Source organism: Homo sapiens, chromosome 17 (genome assembly GCF_000001405.40).
Source record: "Homo sapiens chromosome 17, GRCh38.p14 Primary Assembly".
Lineage (NCBI taxonomy): Eukaryota > Metazoa > Chordata > Mammalia > Primates > Hominidae > Homo > Homo sapiens.
The window spans coordinates 78,818,846-78,836,763 of NC_000017.11; the positions used below are offsets into that span (position 1 = coordinate 78,818,846).

At 48.5% G+C, this 17,918-nt stretch overlaps 1 protein-coding gene across 35 annotated transcripts in view; it reads right to left on the reverse strand.

Moving 5' to 3' along the window:
* The window catches only part of USP36 (ubiquitin specific peptidase 36), a 54,059-nt gene that overhangs the window by 31,465 nt on the left and 4,676 nt on the right, over positions 1-17,918 (reverse strand). For 22 of the 35 annotated variants that reach the window (NR_169582.1, NR_169585.1, XM_011525071.4 and 19 more), the window contains 7 exons: positions 17,266-17,527; positions 16,435-16,656; positions 10,052-10,162; positions 8,400-8,502; positions 3,092-3,159; positions 2,146-2,216; positions 1,085-1,167 (listed from right to left, as the gene is read on the reverse strand). Coding sequence is in view for 30 of the 35 variants with exons in the window: in XM_011525071.4 (XP_011523373.1) it covers positions 1,085-1,167; positions 2,146-2,216; positions 3,092-3,159; positions 8,400-8,502; positions 10,052-10,162; positions 16,435-16,656; positions 17,266-17,518 (911 nt within the window). In the remaining 5 variants the exon portion in view is untranslated. Of the gene's footprint in view, positions 1-1,084; positions 1,168-2,145; positions 2,217-3,091; positions 3,160-4,267; positions 4,339-8,399; positions 8,503-10,051; positions 10,163-16,434; positions 16,657-17,136; positions 17,528-17,918 lie in introns of those variants that run through there. The other 13 variants (NR_169584.1, NR_169583.1, NM_001385177.1 and 10 more) reach the window with 11 other exon arrangements.

The following is a 17,918-nucleotide window of genomic DNA, read 5'->3' on the forward strand; positions in this document are numbered from 1 at the left end:
GCTAAGTTAATAACAGCAACAACTGCTCTGTAATAGTGGAATCTTCATCAATGAGATTTCGACCTTCTGCTCCTCTCAAAATCACATTAAGCATGCCTCAAGTAAAGGAAAGCTACCACAGGGAAATAAGACTACAGAAAGTGGGAAGATTCTAAAGCAAAAAAATAAAAGTACTGTACCCACCAGGAAACTAAATAAAATACAGGAAAAAGTTGCTTTGGGCCAACACAGGAAAGAGCAAATTAAAGCAGATGTGGCTGAGTGATAAAACGGGCAGGCAGGAAGTCAACGTAAGCAAAGCTAGAAGATGCGCAAACACAGGGAGAGAAAACAGAAGCAGAGGCGCGCAGCTTGGAGAGCTGCAGGAAACAGACCTAAAGAAGAGTAAAGCAGAATTAAGAATATATTCTTTAGTGCCTACAGCTTTACAAGGACCTAGATATAAAGATATTCAGCCGGCTGTAGTAGTGTGATCCCAGCACTTTGGGAGGCAAGGCAGGAAGATCACCTGAGTTCAGGAGTTCGAGACCAGCCTGGCCAACAAGGTGAAACCCTGTCACTACTAAAAATGCAACAAATGACAAAGTAAGAGTTCTATCTGCAGAAACGGAAAAATGTCCAAAACCAGTTAAGTAAAAAATGAAAGCCAAAGAAAACACTCCTTAAGAGGCAAGAGAGCAGCTGGTTGGGCACAGTCCCTGGGGCGGCCGCCCGGTGCCAGCCAGTGTGAACTGATGTGAGCTCGTGCTCTGCCACGTCCTCTTGGTGTGGCCCCATGGCTGGTCACTTCACTTCTCTGTGCCTCAGTTTCACCATCCCTAGCAATGGGAAACCACAGCCCCTACTGCACAATATATGCGGCATCTTTAGAACAGGTATGGTGTAAACTGTAGCTATAAAAATCATAGCTATTGCTTCATTCGTGTTATTTAGAAGTTTGAGTTTTTAGGACACACATAGGTTCCTCAAGAAATGCGAGCAGCGGTCACCGCTAAGGAAGAGTGGGTGGGCACAACACTGTCAGGTGAGGGGACTTATTTCCCGTCTGGTATCAGTCTTCTGCCACAAGCAACGTGAAACTTACTTAGCACACATGTAGGCATTCTCTCCACTCAGGACATCTGCTTTCACAAAAAGTTCCAGAGCACGCACAATATTCGCAGCTTGCTGAGGAGGACAAAAACAGGGAGTAAAATACACAGCAGAGGAAAAAGGCTGATTCAAGAAATGCCAAATTTAAGGTCTTTTTTAGGCTGAGGCAGCAAATCACAGAACTTAGACTCGCATAAAAATTTGCCCACTAGCTGCCAGATTGGGACTCCTTCTCCAGAGACAAGAAATGAAAGCAGCCAGGAACAGCGGCTCACGCCTATAATCCCAGCACCTTGGGAGGCCGGGGCAGGAGGATCATTGAGGCCAGGAGTTTGAGACAAGCCTGGGCAACATAGCAAGACCCCTGTCTCTGCAAAGAAATTTAAAAAATTAGCCAGGCGTGGTGGTGCATGCCTGTAGTACCAGCTGTGTGGGAGGATCACTTAAGCCTAGAGGTCAACACTACAGTGAGCTATGATTGCGCCACTGCACTCCTGCCTGGGCCACAGAGCAAGACCCTGTCCCTCAAGCCCCTATAAAAAAAAAGCAAAGCAAAGAAATGACAGCTGCAGGTCTGCCATGAATCAGTCACTTTTATCAGGATGATCTTGTAGCTGGACCTGCTCTGGAGCTTGGGTTGGCCCAGCAAAGGCAGACCACCCTCCCGCACCCTGTAGCTGCAGCAGGATGTGCGACAAAGCCAAGGCTGCTCTCCCAGGTGAGGCCCACAGAGCCACCAAGCTCCAAAGGCTGCACGCCGCCCAGAGCACACAACAGACTCTCCTCAAGCCCTGGGGACAGCGTTGTTCCTGTTCATGCTTCAGGACACAAAACCCAATTTTACCATTTTTTTCTTTAAATAAAAGGATACGCTTAGGAAAAACTCTAGAAAAAAACAGGTAAAGACAATGGTCTGTACTGCAAGGCGGCAGGGAGCAAAGGAGTTTTCTCCCTATCTATTTTGATCTGATGCCTTTACTGTTCTGCGGGTTCTGTTTCACCCTCTGGCCTCGCTCTCCTACTGCAAAAGTGAAGGGCAGGACAGATCTGTACCCGGATCTCCAGCGCGACGTCCAAGTAGGGGTCGTAGGTGTCCGAGACGCTCTTGCACACGGAGCACTTCACTGCAACAGAACAGAGGCAGTGGAGCAGGTGGGGCCTGGCAGAGGCACTCCCAGCTCCCAAGACCGAGACCCAGCAGGGAGGCAGACTCTCAGCAGGGCTTTGGCCAAAGATGAGATTCCCACTAGCCCCTGAAGCATCCTGGTGTCCGAACAGAGAGCTCTCTTTCACCACTGAAGTTCACAAAGATGGATGTCAATATCTTTGCACTCACAGGGCCCTCCCTGCCTGGACTGCTGACCACCACGTGCGGTACTCTCCTGCTGAGGGAGAGCAGAGGGAAGAGCTGCCTCCTCCCTGCACGCGTGCACGGCACTTCCTAATGAGAATATATATATATATATATATATATATATATATATTTTTTTTTTTTTTTTTTTTTTTTTGAGATAGAGTCTTGCTCTGTCACTCAGGCTGGAGTGCAGTGGTGGGATCTTGGCTCACTGCAACCTCCACCTCTTGGGTTCAAGCAATTCTCCTGACTCAGCCTCCCAAGTAGCTGGGATTGCAGGCATGTGCCACCGCGCCTGGCTGATTTTTGTATTTTTAGTGGAGACGGGGTTTCACCATGTTGGCCATGGTTGGCCAGGCTGGCCTCGAACTCCTGACCTCAGGTGATCCTCCTGCCTCGGCCTCCCAAAGTGCTGGGATTACAGGCGTGAGCCACCACACCCAGCCCTCGTGGGAATATTCTAACAACTGCTCCAGTGGCCAGGCGGGCCAAGAGTCTCAGAGGAAACCATGGCTCAAGACCTCAGAGACTGACCCAGGTCTGCACAGCGAAGAAAGAGCCCCAGCCTGCGTTCCAACTCTTAGGGTTTCCTGGGTTCATGTTCTAATCCTGGCAAGAAGCAGTAGAACAAACGTCTCCACTTACCGCGTGATCTGAGATACCCTCCAAAAATTTGATGGACCAAGGTAGTAGCCTGCGTTTGACGATCCAACCTGAAAAGGAGACCCCAGCCTTTAAGGGAAGGGCTCAGCAAGATGACACGAGGGATGGCCCCATCCCAGCAGCCCCATGCCCACCAGTCACAAGCTCAGCGTGAGGCTGGGAAACTCCACCCCCCACCCGAGTCACCACAGACCCTTAACCTCCATCCTCAGCCCACGCTGCCTGGCAGTCTCTCTGCAGAGCTCTGACCTCCTCAGGGCCCCACTACCCACAGTAGCCATTTCAAACCTTCACAATGCCCACTGCCACCCACTTCACAGAAAATAAAAGCCCCGAGAAATGTACGTGTATCCTCACCCAGTGTTGCCTTTTCTTTTTGGTCTCAATAAAAAGTAAGTACCCAAATCTAGAGTGAGGCGGGAGGCCAAACATCCCCCTGAGCTAGGGCGCCCACCCAGCCCACCCTTCCACTTCTCTGCTGGTCACAGACAGCTGGTCCCCAATCTGGGAAGAGGGGTGGGGGTGGGAACAAAGGCACAAACAGGACCAAATCTCCCCGGCTCTGCACCCGTCTCAGAGAGGACAGCGGAGTCAGACGTGGGCTTCGGGGTCAGGAGCCCTGCCCTCATTCATGTCCCCCGCACCGCTCACTAACTGGGATCTGAGGCACTCTGAGCTCTGGGGCCTCTTCTCACCCGGACCCGGGGCTGCCTGGCGCCTCCCACGCCTACGTATCCATATGGTAGCTACTCACGCTGGAAGGTTCTGAAACAATACACCACATCCAGTCTCTGCTCCTGGTTCTACTTGCAACCCACTGCATCTGGTCCTGACTCACTGCTCTGGAACTGCCTTCCTCAGAGTCGCCTAAGGCCTCCAGGCATGAGGCCAGCTGGGTCTGCAGGCCCTTTACTAGGAGGCTGCGCAGTGCGCCGGTGCACCCACTCCCTCCAGAAGAGCTTCCCCTCTCCCCAGGCTCTCCAGCCCCGTCTCCCCAGCTGCTTCCCCGACTCCTCACTGGCACAAAGCGGGGCTGTTTCCAGGGCTCTCTCCACGTTTCCCACGGCCACCCAGACCATTCCACACCCGCAGGCTACACTTCCCCTCCCACAGAACATGCACACCTCAGTCTCTCATCTGGCCTGTGTGACTATTTACCATGGCACTTCCCAGACTCCGGGAGCTCTGAAATACTTGGGGGACCAATACAGGATCATTCAATTTTTATTCTGCAAAGTTAGAAAATGAAAAATCAACTGCCACCATCTACTGTCCCACCATTCTTCAAAAGTGACCTTTTAACTGCAAATACTAGCAAGGACGTAATCTCTGCATGGACTGAGAACTGTGGGTAGCTGCGTGTGATGGCGGCTACCAAAATCCAGACCACCCCCACAACCCCTCTGTCATCCAGAAGCCCGCAAGCACCAGCGCCCGCAGGGCCACAAGGAATCCCCTCTTGCATAACCCAAAGCAGAGGAAGCACAACTGTCACCTTCCCCAGGAGGAGGAAAGGCAAGCTGAGTGACAGCGAGCTCCCACAGGCATCCCACTGAGCCTGGGGACAAAGGGCAGTAGAGAACAGCTGGGCAAGAATGGAGGAGGGGGCAGGAGGTGGCCCGAGAGCCACCCGGAATCACAGCTGCAAAGGGCACCCTGAAGTGAAGTGCTGAATATGGGGTCTCACAGGCACGCAGCTGGAGTAGCAGTCTCCACAGGCATGGGCTCTCAGGGGGAGAAGGCAAAGAGGCAGGCAGGCAGCCTTAGAAGGGCAGTGAAGGGCAAGAGAGGCAAAAGGGGAAACATCAGGGTCCTGAAAAAAACTCAAAACTATCCTAGACTATCGACCCTTCTGCTGCCAGAGGAAAAGCCAACCATGAAAGTGCACTGCACGGGGCAGACAGAGGAGGCGCTCTGGATACGAATCTTGAAAACCAGCCGACCCACAAGATAAATGAAAGCAGGCCCAGTCTATGCAAAGTGCTTCAAGCACAAAGCAGCAATGAACAAGAATCAAAACACCTCATGGGATGCAAACTAGCTCCAGAAAACAGACATGATGCCAAGGACACAGCCACCAAAACTCCAAGCCGAACGTCCTCAACACAGTGAGAGTGGCCTCATTTCTGGAACTAGAGTGCCACACACAGCTGCCCTCCTGGAGGAACTTATGAGAGGCCGGGCTTCACCCAGCCAGGAGCGCACCAGAGGTGCCAACTGGAGGGTGGGCAATGAGCAATGGGAAGATGTAACCATAACCCAAGGCTGGGCAAGAAAAAGATACCACCTTACAGGTGCCAACAAAAAAAATGAAATCATGCACGCTAAAATGGCAAGAGAGAGAGGAGAGGAAAAGAGCTAGGAAGTAAAGGGTACCACGGTGGACTGCCAAATCAGACAGTGAGGAGCGAGGAAAACAGGACCAGGTGCATTTCAAAAGGGCGTATGAAACCAGCAGGCAGCATGGAGCGTGCCTGCAGTTCCAGTTACTGGGCAGGAGGATTGCTTGAGTCCAGGAGGTGGAGCCTGCCGTGAGCGGAGATTGCACCACTGCACTCTAGCCTGGGAGACAGAGCAAGGCCCTGTCTCAAAAAGAATGGTTTATGTACAAAGGTAGCCATTAAAACAAAAACACACATCTTCCTAATATCCAAAGAAATTTGAGAAATAAAGAAAAATCAGAAATAAGCACAGTAAATATGCTACCTATAATTACTATAAAATACATAAATATGACAGAATTGAGACCAAACTTTTCAGTCATAACAGGAAATGTGAAGGGGCTTAACCTGCCTATTAAAAGATGGTCATTTTGGCTTACAAAACAAGACAGATCTTAAGAACGCCTCTAAGAAAGGGTTCAGAAAGTGACAGCAAGGGGCCGGCGGAAACCCTGCAAAAGCAGGGGCTGCAGCACTGACACTGGCCATGGCAGAATTCAGAACAAAAGCCACTCCACGTGACAAGTGAAGACACTCAGAATGCTAAAAGCAACGATCCTCAATGAAGACATGACAGTTACGAATATCTAACCACAACCACCTGTATAGAGCAAAACTAGAGGAGATGCAAGGAGACAGGCACCCACCAGAATTCCAGTAATCATGGACTTAACACACTATTCCAAACAGATGAAGGGGACAAGAGCACATGGATATAGAAAATGAAAACTGCATCATCAGTAGACCCATCCATGGACAGAGGAGCAAACCAACACCCTGGCAGTCTCAGCAGCCACCGCCAAGCATGCAGGAAACATTCACAAACGCTGGTCACCTATAATCACGGAGAAAACATCAGGAAGTTCCATGAAGTAGAAATATTATCAACACGCTCTGATCATAATGCAAGTAACATCAAAAGTCATCTACAGAAGCAAAAGACAAAAAGGCCCCTCCACCTGCAAATTAAATGGAATAATTTGCTTTATGAGAAGCTCACCATTGGTGTCATTCTTATTTTTTCTCACTCCACATTTCACTACAGACCAGTGAAAGCTCCCTCATGGACCGACATCTGGTGAGCCTTCATCTCTCCCCTGGCAATGCCTGGCCACCTGACACCTGGCCTCCCTCCTCTTTCCAGCAATCCTGGTACCAACGAATGGCTCACCACCACCCACCCCAATGCCCAGACCGCAGACCTGCATTCCTCCCATCTCACAGCCCCAAATCCAAACCGTTATTCATTCTACCTCCCATCCTACTCCTCACGAATTTCTTCCACCGTAGACTCTGGTTAATTGGACTGACTGAAGCCCAGGGGTCAGTTTCTGTCCTAAGAGCGCTCCAGGTGGCTGCACCCTGTGCCCAGAGCCAGGCCCCCTGCTATAGGCTCGCTGCACTCCCCCTGCAGGTGCTGGGGACACCGCAACCCTCCTCCTGGGGACACCTACTTGCCTTTGCAGGCCCTCGGGGGTCACTTCTCCCAGGAAGCCGCCTCTGGGTGAGGTAATATCCCTCTATCACAGCATTGGCCACACCACATTGCAAACGCTGCTGGGGTCCACTGTCTTCACCAATTACACCATGAGCTCCACAGACTCCAGGACCATGGCTTCTACCTCTCAGTTCCCAGTGCTAGCTATGGGGCCCAGCACACAGGGAACAGCAGTTCAATTACCCAGTTCACTGAAGGGCAGACCTGGGATCATACAGGGAGCAAGGAAGCTTGAGCCCCTTCAGGAGAAGGGGAAGAACGCGTGACCAAACCCTCAAAACAGACAAAAAGGAATGCATCCTAGGAGTGCAGTGAAAGTTGCCTTCATATAAGTGATTTAAGTAAGTTTTCTTAAGCCAGGAATGGTGGCTCATGCCTGTAATCCCAGCACTAAGAGGCCAAGGCAGGCAGATCACTTGAGGCCAGGAGTTGGAGACCAGCCTGGCCAACATGGCAAAACTCTGTCTCTACTAATAATACAAAAATTAGCCAGGCACGGTGGTAATCCCAGCTACTGCACTCCAGCCTGGGCGACAGAGCAAGACTCCTGTCTCAAAAGCAGTTTTCTTTCTGTAAGTCTTATTTACGTAAGAATATCATCCACTGAGGCCAGTAGTTTTGCCATTTCAATCACTTATTGCCACAACTCAACTTCTCTAAAGAACATTCTAGGTATATTCCCTAAACTATTTAAAGTATTTCTACGATCCTAAGCTGAGGCAATACAAGGAAGTCCTAAGCATTTCCTGCCTGTTTTCTTTGGTCTGAACCTATGAACTCAGGAATGACACAAAGACAATTTGTGATGGCAACCATCACATATAAGGGCTTACGTGGCGTGTGAATAAGAAACAGCAGCCAGGCACAGTCAGATCCTAAAGTTATAAACCTCCTCATGTTAAAGCTCCCTGTTTGTACATATACATGTACATATAAATTATACTGCAGAGACCTCATTCCTACCACCCCAACCTCTTTTCAAAAACGACATGATTTTTAAGAGACTGAAAAAGTCCATGGTAAGAACTGAATGCCCCTAAGAAGGTCTGCTAACATATTTCCCCCTGACTGAGCTGCTCAGACACAGCTGCCGCCACCACAGCCACCCGATCCTACCAAGCCGCCCCGGACCAGCAGGACGTCTCCGGAGACAGCCCTTTCCCAGGAAGCAAGGGCAATCCCCTATTTGGGCTCCAACAGTTTGAGTACCCAGAGGCAAATTCTGCCACGTCTACCCAAGGGCAGCCTGGGTAGAAAGGTGCCGGGCTGGCTGTTGCCATAGGAATGTTCTGCTGCCACCATGTAGAAAAGGTGTCCAAAGCCCTGGGAGGGTGGGTGGGGAAGCACGCACTTGGCACAGCCATTCAGGCAGGCTTTCTGCATGGCGTCGATGGTGTACCGCAGGAACTCATGCGCGTCCTCCTGGTTCCCAAAGCGGAAGTGTCGGGCGATCTCTAAAAGAGGAAGAAACAGGGAGGGAAGAGCTCGTGTCTTCTCATCAAACGGCCTGCGGCTGCTTTCCTGAATGGCCATTCCTGGCTGTTATAAGGGGAAAATACTGCAACTTTTCAAAGGAACAAGTGAGGAAAACAAGAGCTCTACATGGATTTTCTATATCCCAATCACAATTCATCATGGCCACCACTTTCTCAATAAGATTGCAGGCTTGAGCATTCACTACTGCACAGACAAGGAAGAACACCAAGCCCTCAAAAATGTAAAATGCCGGCTGGGTGAGGTGGCTCACACCTGTCACTCTAACACTTCAGGAGGCCTGGGTGGGAGGATCACTTGAGCCCAGGAGTTCGAGGGCAGCCTGGGTAACATAGGGAGACTTCATCTCTACCAAAATAAAAAATAAAAAAATTAGCCAGGCATGATGGCATGTGCCTGTAGTCCCAGCTACTTAGGTGGCTGAGGCAGGAGGATGGGTTGAGCCTAGGAGGTTGAGGCTGCAGTGAGCTATGATCTCACCACTGCAATCTCCAGCCTGGGCAATAGAGCAAGACTCTATCTCAGAAAGAAAAAGAATAAAGAATGTAAAATCCGGCAGGATGCAATGGCTTATGCCTGTAATCCCAACACTTTGGAAGGCCAAGGCAGGAGGATCGCTTGGAGCTGGGAGTTGGAGACCAGCCTGGGCAACATGGCCAGACCCCATCTCTACAAACAATACAAAAACAGTCAAGTGTGGTGCGCCTGTAATCCCAGCTACTCAGAAGGCCAAGGCCGACTGCTTGAGTCCAAGAGTTTGAGGCTGCAGCGAGCTGTGATTGCACCACTGTCCTCCAGCCTAGGTATAAGAGCAAAACCCTGTCTCAAACAAAAAGAATGTAAAATCCATTGAATATCTCTCCAAAAGCCAATATAAAACACAGGTGAGTAAGTATTTCACAGTGCTACAATTTACACAGATTTCAAAAACCGGTAATAGGCCTCTTCTTTCTGCCAAGTGAATGTGAATGAGACTTTTTTATAGCATAGGCAACTGATTCCTGATATTCAGAATGGAATTGGTACATTCCTCATCCATCCCTCCTCCCAGCTCTCCCTCAGGCCCACCTGCCTGCCCCAAATACACAATAACTCCTCCACCTGCCCAAAGGAAAAGCTACCTGTCCTGACCTGCCCCCACTAAGAGGCTTCCCCACTGACCCCAGCCCACATGTCTCTAAACTGCTATTCCTTGAGTCTGCACCACCACATGCAGGGCTGTTAGCACAGAGGGATTCCCAAGACTTCATCCATGACTCACTCTTCTCTCCCTTCTACCAACTCCCCAGCACCTCCTACAGGGCGAGCACTTAGCAGGCCTTCAGTAACAGATGGAGAATGGCACAGTGGCTCGTGTCTGTAATCCCAACACTTTGGCAGGCCAAAACGGAAGGACTGCTTAAGGCCAGGAATTTAAGACCAGCCTGGGCAACATAGCGAGAACCCCATCTCTACAAAAAATTAAAAAATAAATAAATCACAAAAATTTTAACATGGATTGATGCTTACTTTTCAGGTCTCGGATGAAGGAGACGGGCTTGATGGCGTTGCCGCTGTTGGCGAAGGCCTGGACAATGTGGTTCTGCATGACACACAGCATGCAGAAGCTTCCCTGGTGGCCTGCCGGCGTGGAAGGAGGAGCAATTTTAAGACAAGAGCTTTCAAAGAACTCACGGTGAGGCCCCCACCCCAAACGTTAACACAGCCAGAAACACAAGCAGGTAAGAGCAAACCAGGCTGTGAGAGAACGGCTGAGCCAGAGATCCCAGACCTCTGCTGACTGGGTGACCACCAAGGAAATGTTATTCTCTGCTGGATGGCGTTTGGAAGCTATGATCCATCCAAAGCTGAAACTCTCACCATCACAACCTCACACCATCACCCCACATTAATGCTGACCTGTGCATGATCCTTTTCAGATTTCACTAGTATTATTTACTTATAAAAAGACTAAGGCAGATTTTCAAAATGAAGCTTAAACGATGTATTCTCGAATTTCTAAGCTGCATCACATGGTAAATAGGCTAAAATATTTTAGGGCTGACAGCCCCTTAGTAGTGCCTCAGATATGGGACCGTCTGTTCCACTGGTTCTAGTAAACACCTCGCTAGGATACATCTGGGGTTGAAAATGTTTTCTGGGAAGATCCAGATAGCAAATCCTTTCCTATCTGAGGGCTATACAGTCTAGTCACAACTATGCTCCTGTATTGTAGAGGAGGCAGCCATAGACAATATATGAACAATGGGGTATGAACGTGTTCAATAAAACTTTATTTACACACACAGAGAGCAGGCCAGATGAGTCTGCCCACCCCTGCGCTACATAAAACGCCTCACTAGGCATTAGGCTAGACAGTGGTCCTTTTTTTTTGAGACAGAGTCTCACTGTCACCCAGGCTGGAGTGCAGTGGCACAATCTTGGCTCACTGCAACCTCCGCCTGCCGGGTTTAAGCAATTCTCCTGCCTCAGCCTCCCAAGTGGCTGGGACTACAGGCTCGTGCCACCATGCCAGGCTAATTTTTTGTATTTTAGTAGAGACAGAGTTTCACCATGCTGGCCAGGCTGGTCTCGAACTCCTGACCTTGTGATCCACCTGCCTCAGCCTCCCAAAGTGCTGGGATTACAGGCGTGAGCCATCGAGCCCAGCCCCGACAGTGGTACATTTTTACCTTTCAAATTATGATGTAAATAAACACTGCTGTGATCGCCGAACTCCCCTCAATCTCTCTCAACCCCATTTTCCATGTACCTTCATTCAAAGTCACCACTATCCTGAATTAGGCAATTATCGTTCTCATTCATGTATTATCACACACATGTGTATCCATGAACAATAAATGGCACTGTAGCTACATGTTTCCAAACTTCCTTTCTATAAATCGTATCATGCAGTTACGTATCATTCAGCAATGGCTTTACAAAAATCCATGTTGCTAGACATAGCTCCAGTTCCTTCAAATCTTCCAGCTAGAATATTTCACTGAATGAAGAGACCACTGTTATTTATGTATCCACCACTAACACACATTTAGCCTTTCCATTTTCTCTGCTATCATAGACATTTTGCAATGAACAATCCTGCACCTGTCTCCTTGAGCACATGGGTCAGTTTCTCTAAAGTACACGCTCAGAAGACAAATTTCTGGACCAAAGGGCAAGCACGCCTTCAAATCTGCTAGATACTGTTGTCTACTACACAGTGCATTACCTATTATCTATTATCAAATAGATCCATCTCATAACACAAAACTCAACCCAAATCATTTCCCCGCAATATCTCCAACTCCTTAGACTTCAAAATCAATAATGCAACAGCATGCAGCCTGCTTAGCAAATAGACATTAAAATGCTATTATTTACACAAAATTCTTCTTGAAGAGATGTAAAAAACTCTCCATGAGATTGCCTTTACATAAAGGGGAGGTTTTTTTCATTTTAGACTTCTGCTTGCCTTTTCTAACTATATCCATGTTATTACTTTTATTTTTAAAATGACAATAATGATTGGTGAACTCAAAATTAGGCAAAAATTATGTCATTTAAAAGAAAATACAGGCCAGATGCAGTGGCTCACGCCTGTAATCCCAGCACTTTGGGAGGCCGAGGCAGGTGGATCGCGAGGTCAGGAGGTTGAGACCATCCTGGCTTACACAGTGAAACCCCGTCTCTACTACAAATACAAACAATTAGCCAGGCATGGTGGCACGTGCCTGTAGTCCCAGCTACTCGGGAGGCTGAGCCAGGAGAATCGCTTGAACCTGGGAGGCGGAGGTTGCAGTGAGCCAAGATCACACCACTGCACTCCGGCCTGGGCGACAGAGTGAAACTCCATCTCAAAAAAAAAAAAAAAAAAAAAAAAAAAAGGGACAACATAAATATTGAAGAGCTCTTTTTTTTCCAAAACCTAACTTCAGGTAAGATACAGTTTTACTACAAAAGAAAATGGCCATGGGGGCCCACACCTGTAATTTCAGCACTTTGGGAGGGTGAGGCGGGTGGAACACGTGAGGTCAAGAGTTCAAGACCAGCCTGGCCACTTGGTGAGACCCCCATCTCTACTAAAAATACAAACATTAGCCGTGTGTGGTGGCAGTCACCTGTAATCCCAGCTACTTGGGAGGATGAGGGAAGAGAATCGCTTGAACCTGGGAGGTGGGGGTTGCAGTGAGCCGAGACTGTGGCAACTGCACTCCAGCATAAGCAACAGAGACTCTGTCTCAAAAAACTGTGTAGAAATTAAGCCTCTAATCATTATATATAAAACGCTGCTGGTTGGGCATGGTGGCTCACACCTATAATCCGAACATTTTGGGAGGCTGACGCAGGAGGATCGCTGAGCCCAGGTGTTTGAGACCAGCCTGGGCAACACTGCCTAACCAAATCTCTACCCAAAGAATACAAAAAAAAAATTAGCTGGGCATGGTGCTATGAGTCTATAGTGCCAGCTACTTGGGAGGCTAAGGTGGGAGGATTGCTTGGGAGGTGGAGGTTGCAGTCAGCTATGATTACACCACTGGACTCCAGCCTGCGTGACAGAGTGAGAGCTTGTCTCAAAAAAAAAAAAAAAAAAAAGCTTCTTTCAGCCTAATAAAATATCACTCTTAACAGGGTAAATAACAATCTAAGCCAGGTTCTCCAGCAATATATGAGATTAATTTAAGTGGCACATGGACAAATATTTATTCATGTAATTTAGGAAAATATAACTCAAAAGTCAATCCATGACTACACGGACATAGAGAGATTTGGGAAACAAAAGGACAGGACTGAACTGCGTTCCTCCTAGACTATTTACACAGTGTTTCTCTTCTAGCTAAATATTAGCGCCAGAGACAGTCCAGCCTACGGCAGGAGCTGCTGCTCCGTGCCACGTGCACAGTGGACCCTCGTCAGAACAAACACCCCTTAGGATCCTCAACTCTTCAAATGCCATGTGCTAGGAGGGGGAGACCACAGCCAAAGCCCACTTAGGGGTCACTCAGGATCCAGTGGGGTGCAGGAAAAAAAGGCCACAACGTCTCTTCATATGTTCCAAGATAGTAAGATGCACTAATATTTCACAGTGATACTGGCCCATGGGACCGGTATTGGAAGGAAGACCAGGCGTTCCCCTTGAAGGGATGGCCATGGCTGCCTTACTCACACGCTTGCTGCTGACATGCTGCAACAAACTGCAGCTTACCTGTGCCAGGTTACGGGGATTTACAGATATTATCTAGTTTTAACTAAATTAATCCTCACAAAGTTGGCAACTGGCTCAAAAAGATCCTGCAGAGAAACCAAGAATGGAAGGCAGCTCTACAGTGGAAGAGCCCTGACAGGCCTGGGATAGCAGAGTCTTACTGCCAAAACCATGAGACGAAAACAACAGCCATCTAGTCAAATCTTACTGAAAGTCCACCCAGAACCACCTCAAAATTACCAAGGTCACCACTGGAAATAGGGGCTACAATTAGCCATCTCAACAATGTGCTTCTGCAGGGCACGGTGGCTCATGCCTGTAATCTCAGCACTTTCGGAGGCAGAGGCAGGCAGATCACCTGAGGTCGAGAGTTCAAGACCAGCCTGGTCAACATGGTGAAACTTCGTCTCTACTAAAAATACAAAATTAGCCAGGCGTGGTGGCGGGCACCTGCAGTCCCAGCTACTTGGGAGGCTGAGGCAGGAGACTCTCTTGAACACAGGAGGCGGGGGTTGCAGTGAGCCGAGATTGCACCACTGCACTCCAGCCTGGGCGACAGAACGAGACTCCATCTCCAAAAAACGCCCCCAAACAATGTGCTGCTTCATCTCAACAACTATGCCTTGATAATTAACCTTTGCTGCTATGAAGCCATCGCAATTAGCAAGATGTTTACAAACACTTCCCACTGCATGGCCATCTTGTGTTCTTTTTTTTATGTTTTTTTGAGACGGAATCTTGTTCTGTTGCCCAGGCTAAAGTGCAGTGGTGTGATCTCAGCTCAATGCAACCTCTGCCTCCCAGGTTCAAGTGATTCTCCTGCCTCAGCCTCCCAAGTAGCTGGGATTACAGGTGTGAGCCACCGTGCCCAGCCAGTAGCAGTCACTTCTATAGCACTCCCTCTTTGCGGGCTGCTACTCCAGGCACTTGACTCACTCAGAATTTATCGGAGCCTCACGCAACTCTGTAAGGAAGACAGTCTCATTCTTCCATAGACCAGGGACATTCTCAAAAACTCACAGTTACTAAGGGGCAAACTGGGAAGCAAACCCTACAGGCCAGGCTCCTGAGCTGTGTTTTCAACTGCTCTGCTCCCTCCAGAATTCTACTTAGAGATTTTCTGCGATGAAAACATCCTGCATTCCTAGGATAAACATAAGTTGCTTACAGTTTTTTAGAAACTGTGTCATTTGGTAGTATTTTCCTACAATTTTTATATCTATGTTCGTGAAGAAGTTGTGGTTATCCATTTTCTTTCTCGCATTTTCCTTATTATTGTTATCCGAGTTATAGGAACTTTATAGAATGAGCTGGGAAAGATTCTCTCCTCCTCTATTCTTTGGAAGAACGTGTAAAGGATTGGAATTGTTTCTTAAAAGTTACATAGAAATTGGCTGGGCACAGTGGTTCACACCTGTAATCCCAGCACTTTAGGAGGCCAAGGCGGTTGGATCACCTGAGGTCACGAGTTCAAGACCAGCCTGACCAACATGGTAAAACCCCATCTCTACTAAAAATACAAAAATTAGCCAGGCGTGGTGGCGTGCGTCTATAGTCCCAGCTATTTGGGAGGCTGAGACAGGAGAATTGCTTGCACCCAGGAGGCGGAGGTTGCAGTGAACTGAGATCACACCACCGTACTCCAGCCTAGGCAACAGAGTCCGTCTCAAAAAAAAAAAAAAGTTACACAGAAATAACATTGTCTCTGCTTGGGGTTTTTTATGGGAAGATTTTTAACCAATGCTTTAATTTCTTTAATAGTTAAAAGACTCTTCACTTTCTATTTCTTTCAGTTTTGGTAAGTTATATCTTATTTCACCTCTATTTTAATCAAATAGAGCACACCACCACATCCAGCTAATTGTTTCGATTTGTTTTTTGTGTGTGTGAGATGGAGTCTTGCTCTGTCACCCAGGCTGGAGTGCAGCGGCATGATCTTGGTCAGCTCACTGCAACCTCCACCTTCTGGGTTCAAGCAATTCTCCTGCTTCAGCCTCCCGAGCAGCTGGGATTACAGGTGCACCCCATCACGCCTAATTTTTATATTTTTAGTAGAAACCGGGTTTCGCCATGTTGGCCAGGCTGGTCTCCAACTCCTGACCTCAAGTGATCTGCCCACCTCTGCCTCCCACAGGTGTGAGCCACCGTGCCCGGCCTTGATTTGTTTTTGTAGAGATGGGATCTTGCTGTGTTGTCCAGGCTGCACGTTTTATAATACACATAAGATATGCTGATACAACAACAGATGCATAAAACAATTGGGCTAGGCATGGTGGCTCACACTTATAATCCCAGCACTTTGGGAGGCTGAGATGGGAGGATCATGTGAGCCCAGGAGTTCAAGACTACAACGAGTTGTGATGGAGCCACTGCATTCCAGCCTGGGTGTCAGAGCAAGATACTGTCTCTAAAAAAATAATATTTGTATATATATATATATATATATTTTGGAAGTATCTTTTGAAAACGTTTCTGTCTGGGTAATTATTTACAGAAAAGCTTGGCGAACACAGCCCCACCTGACCGATTCACCTTCATGGCCCATTCTGCAGCAGGCATGATTCAAATTTAGGTTTCATCAGTTACTATACATTATGAACTACCCTCCTAAATTTGACCCAGACTGAGAGCAGCAGTGCCACAAGTGCATGGGCTTATCTAATCCAGAGGACCCACAGCCACCCCACTGCTGCAAACCCACACTCACAGCTGCGAGCATGCTCCTTGGAGAGCAGGTAGTTGGCTAGAGGTGGTGTGTAGGTCAAGCACTGGATGGTGGCATTGAGAAAGCAGGTGTTGCCAAGGTTGTGGAGTCCTGCGCCCACGCGGAAGACCCGCTCCCACCTCAGAGACAGTCGCTCCGTGGGGAAAAGCACTTTCTGCGGGGCTGGGACTCCGTCACCACAGCTCTCATACGTGTGCTCACTGCCTGAGGAAGAAAGGGACAAGGGAAGAAAAGAGGAAGACGTAAGTCCACACACAGGTCGTCCACAAAAAGAAACTCCTGAAGCATACACTTAGCATGCAGTGACTCGGAACATGGCACCAGAGAAGAACTGGTGTTCTGGTTTACAGGACATTCCTGGAAAGCTCAGGAGTAAACCCAGCCATCCCACGGACCTCCTAGGCTGCTTGGCTAAAGAATTCAAGGGCCCCTCTATAGATGGAGGACACAGCTCAGAGACTGAGTGGCGGAAGGAGCCAGGCCTGGCACTCTGCACCACACTGTGCCCACATGCAGCCCACCCCATTTCTCTTTCTTAGTTCCAAGCCTGACTTTCGACTGTATTATACTTGGGATAGGGGGACAGCAAGTCCAAGGACCCACCAAGTACACAGATCCACCAAGCACACAGATTTCCTTGCTACCAACCCTGTATCATTACTTCTATAACTGAAATCCACTGACCCCATGTAAAAATTCATAACTCTTTGACCACATTCTCTTGTTTTTCCTACTAATTAGTCAATATTTAAGTCCATCCACTTCGTCACCCCGGAGTGAGGGCCTCTCTGCCAGCACACTGCACATCTGTACCCTGTCTCCTGGCCGGTGGGTCATCTCCACTCTTGTGGCGACTAGCTCCCTCTGTTTTGGGGTTGAGCAACACATATTTGCTCTTTAAGGCCTCCAGCTGGTAGGAGAAGCTCTTGCTGGCTGGCTCGAACTCGATTTTCTGTAAAAGGACCTTCTTGGCAGAGGAGGCAAGAAGCTTCCCCAGTTCTCCATCATCAGCCGAGTCCTTGCGGCCGGGTTTCAGGGCCTCCTTCAACTTATCCACTATTGGCATGGTGCATCACTGTGGGGACAAGAAGAAACATAGAGCCATAGATAACGAAATCCCGGGACAAAAACATCTCTTAAGATCTCCTCTTTGGTCATTATGGATGCTAGCCACCACAAAAGCTCCCCTGGATCAGTGATCCCCTGGATCAGCTGCACAAAGGAAACAGGGAGACCCAGCACTAATCACTTGGACATATTAGTTCACATTTCCCCCACAAAAAGATAAGATGCCACTACAAATAGAGGTGAGCAGACAACAGTGGCCCTGAGGCAGCCAGACAGCCCCTGCCATGTGCATCTCTTCATCAGATACTCATCAAGTGGCTCTGGACATCATTCTTGGTGCCATTTCCTTCCAAAGGTCATCACGTGGTCCAAATGTCTGCTCCAAAACAGGGGCACAC